Here is a 3,526-nt window from a genome sequence, read left to right on the forward strand (position 1 = left end):
ATGTCAGCAATCATCAGGAAAATGCAAATCAGTACCACAATTAAAAATGACCTTATACCTGTTAGGATGGATATCATAAAAAAAGATGACAAATGTTGGCTAGATTGTGGAGAAATCAGAACCCTTGCACATTATTGGTGGGAATGAAAAATTGTGCATTTGCTATGGAAAACAAAATGAATATTTCTAAAAAAATAGAACTACCATGTGATCCAGCAATCTTACTTCTTTGTATCTATCCAAAAGAATTAAAAATCAGGATCCCAAAGAATATTCACAATAGGCAATATGCAGAAATAACCTAAGTGTCTATAGAGAGAAGAATGGGTAAAGAAAATGTTGTGTATGCATACAATGGAACACTAGTCAGCCTTCAGAAAAGGAAATTCTGAAATATGAGACAACATACATGAACTTTGAGGACATTATGCTAAGTGAAATGAGCCATTTACAGAAAGACAAATACTGCATAATTCCACTTACATGAGGTATCTAAAATAGTTTCATAGAATCAAAGAGTGGAATGGTGGTTGCCAGGGAGTGGAGATAGGGGCCAGTGGAATTGCTAATTTGCAGGCACAAAGTTGCAGCTAAGCAGGATGAGTAAGCTGTAGAAATATGCTATACAGTATCGTGCCTATAGTTAACAATAATGGATTTTATAACTTAAAAACTTGCCAAAAAGGTAGATATCATGTTAAATATTCCTATCATAATAAAACATAATTTTAAAAAGGAATATGAAAACAGATTTTTTGTTGTTATTTTCGTTAATTTTGAATGCTCTGTTCTTTACTCTTACATTGTTGAGTAGTTTGGCTGAGTAAGAATTCTAAGTTGAAATCAGAATTTTAAAAATGATGCTTTATTTTTCTTTAGTTTTCTTTGCTGTTATTAAAAAATTCTATGCTATTCTGAATACTGCTCCCTTACATGTGACTTAACTCTTTTTCTTTAAAATATTTTAGGATCTTCTCTTTATCCTCACTGTTCTGAAATATCACTATGATGTCCATGGGGGGATGTATGTGTGTGCATGTGCGTGTGTATGTGTGTTTGTGTAGGAAGGATTTTTTTTTTAATCTTGGAACTTTAGTTAATCCTTTCCTTCTGGTGACTTCTGTCCTTCATTACTGAAAATCTTTATTGTATTATATTCAATAACTTCCTGCCTTCTGATTATTTTGTACTCTTCTTCTGGAATTCTTACTATTAGTTGAAACTTCTTCATTTATTGAAGTATGTCTTTATTTTTAATCTCTCTCTCTCTCTCTCGCGTGTTCTCTCTCTCTCTCTCGCGTGTTCTCTCTCTCTCTCTTTCTCTCCCTCTTTCTGTTGATTGCTGTAGTTGTGCTTTTTGGGAAAGCCCTTAAAATTTTTTATGTTTCTATTTTTTTGAGAATATTCTTGATATAAAATGTTCATATCTATGAGGTTTTAAAAATTATTATTTTTCAAAATAGCCTTTTACTCTTGTAATATATTTTCTAATCTCTTATGGGATATAATAGTTTTTGTTTTAAATTTGTTTTTATTTATCTAATTTATGCTCACTAATTTTCCCCCTGTTTCTTTTAGGTTTCCACCTTTCTTTTTGTTTTGGTCTCTGTGTTTCTTATGTTGAAAACTTTTTTCAATTGTTAGTGCGCTTTGGCTGTCCATTTTATTTTTAAGAAGGAGGAACAAAAAAATTTACTAAGAGCTCTATGTGTAGGCACACAACCTGTAAACTTTGTGGCTTCATTCTAAGATGATTTGGATAAGATAAAATTTTTATTGGGGAATTATCACTAAATGTCACAGTCTGGTGATATTTTCTATGGGACCATTTTGTTCTTATAGAGAGGAATCTTCTCTTTTCCTGGGGTGTGGAGTGGGTGATGGCCTTAGTTTTTAGTTTTCAGATGTGCAGGTAATCCACTGTGTCCAGAGGCATGCCTCATCCAAACTTTACACATGGCCTGGATCCTCCCAGTCCTATACCTTTCTCCGTTCTAAAGGTCAACTGCCCTTTCTCAGTGGTGTCTCCTGCTGCAGAAGCTTTACTTACAGCCGCCATCATTCTGTTAACTGTAATTCTTAATTATCCATTTACTTTACAGCTTCCAAAAGTTTTGTTGAAATACCAATCCCTCGTCTACTATTGTCTTTTCTGCTTTTCCTTTTGGTCTTCTTGGAATGTTATGATGTTAAATTTGTTATTTAATTATAGTTAATTGCAGAAAAAGAGATAAACACATATGGCCTACCAACCACGTTTAACAGTAATCCTTATTGTTTCTCATTGTGTTTTAATATATGCTCTCCTTTTGCTGTACCATATTATCATTACAATTTTGTGTGTATTCTTCATTAAGTATAAGGTTTTACATCTCTTTGATTCTTTACTCTTAATAAGTACATTCTCAGAAACACTACCTTACTTTATTCATATAGAAATGCTTACTATACAGCATAAGTATATTATTCACCCTTGACAGATGGAAGAAACTACACTCTGAGAGTTTAATTAGCATGCCCAAGATCACACAGTCAGGTTTGCAGGCTTCTCCTTTATAGAATTTTGCCTCCCAACCCCTCCAACTCTAAATAGAGTCTAACTTGTGGCAACTTTATGAAATAAATAAAGAGAAGAAAAAGGTGGATTTCAAACACTTAGTTTAAACAATTCTTCTCCCGAAAGAAACTGCGAATTCTCAAAATTAGTTTGGGGTAATTTGATGATTTTAGTACATTACATGATACACAATCACTACCACAGTGAACAATTGAGATTTGACTGAAATAACAGAAAGATGTACACTGCACTGATGTTTGTAGAAACATTTAAAGAAGCAAACAATATGCTGGATGGTGAAGGAGAACTCCAAAAATGAGGAGACACAGTTCACACATTTAGGTGCTTTCACAAACAATGTAAGGCAGGACTGCTCTGTGGCATGAACAAAATTGACAGCCACATCTACAGGGATTTCTCTACCTCTGGACCTAATTTAATGGAACTAATGCATATTTATTACAGCATGGCTCTCATTAAACGACAGCCTGGCCATTAGACATAAAATCCCTGCAAGAGACATGATCCATTTTCTACAAAGGACCTTTTCTGGCCACTGAGACCCTGCTGCACTTACACTGACAACTTCATGTGCTGTGAACTGGAGGGATACGAGGCAGGGGCTCTCGGCCTTCTGTAGCCCAGTCTGTCTGTAAGCCTTCTGGTGGAGTCTAAGGAGGCCTGTATTGCTTTCCTGGAGGCAGAGACCAAGGCTTGTCAGGGCTGACACCTACCTCCCAGGTCCCTTCTTGTCAGATGCTTGGGCTTTGTCAGCTGAGCTCTAGCTGAGATGACAGCTGATACCTTTTGCTTTGGAGACGGCTTACTGGGCTACAGAACTGACTCTGTGAAGGGTGCCCTGACACGCCTTTACCAGCAGTCCCTAAACACTTGTCTCAGTCTCACTGATTCTCAAGCTTTTGCATGATTCCACAAGTCCTTAATCAAAAAACATTCCTTATCTTGCTG

This window comes from Homo sapiens, chromosome 3, assembly GCF_000001405.40.
Source record: "Homo sapiens chromosome 3, GRCh38.p14 Primary Assembly".
Lineage (NCBI taxonomy): Eukaryota > Metazoa > Chordata > Mammalia > Primates > Hominidae > Homo > Homo sapiens.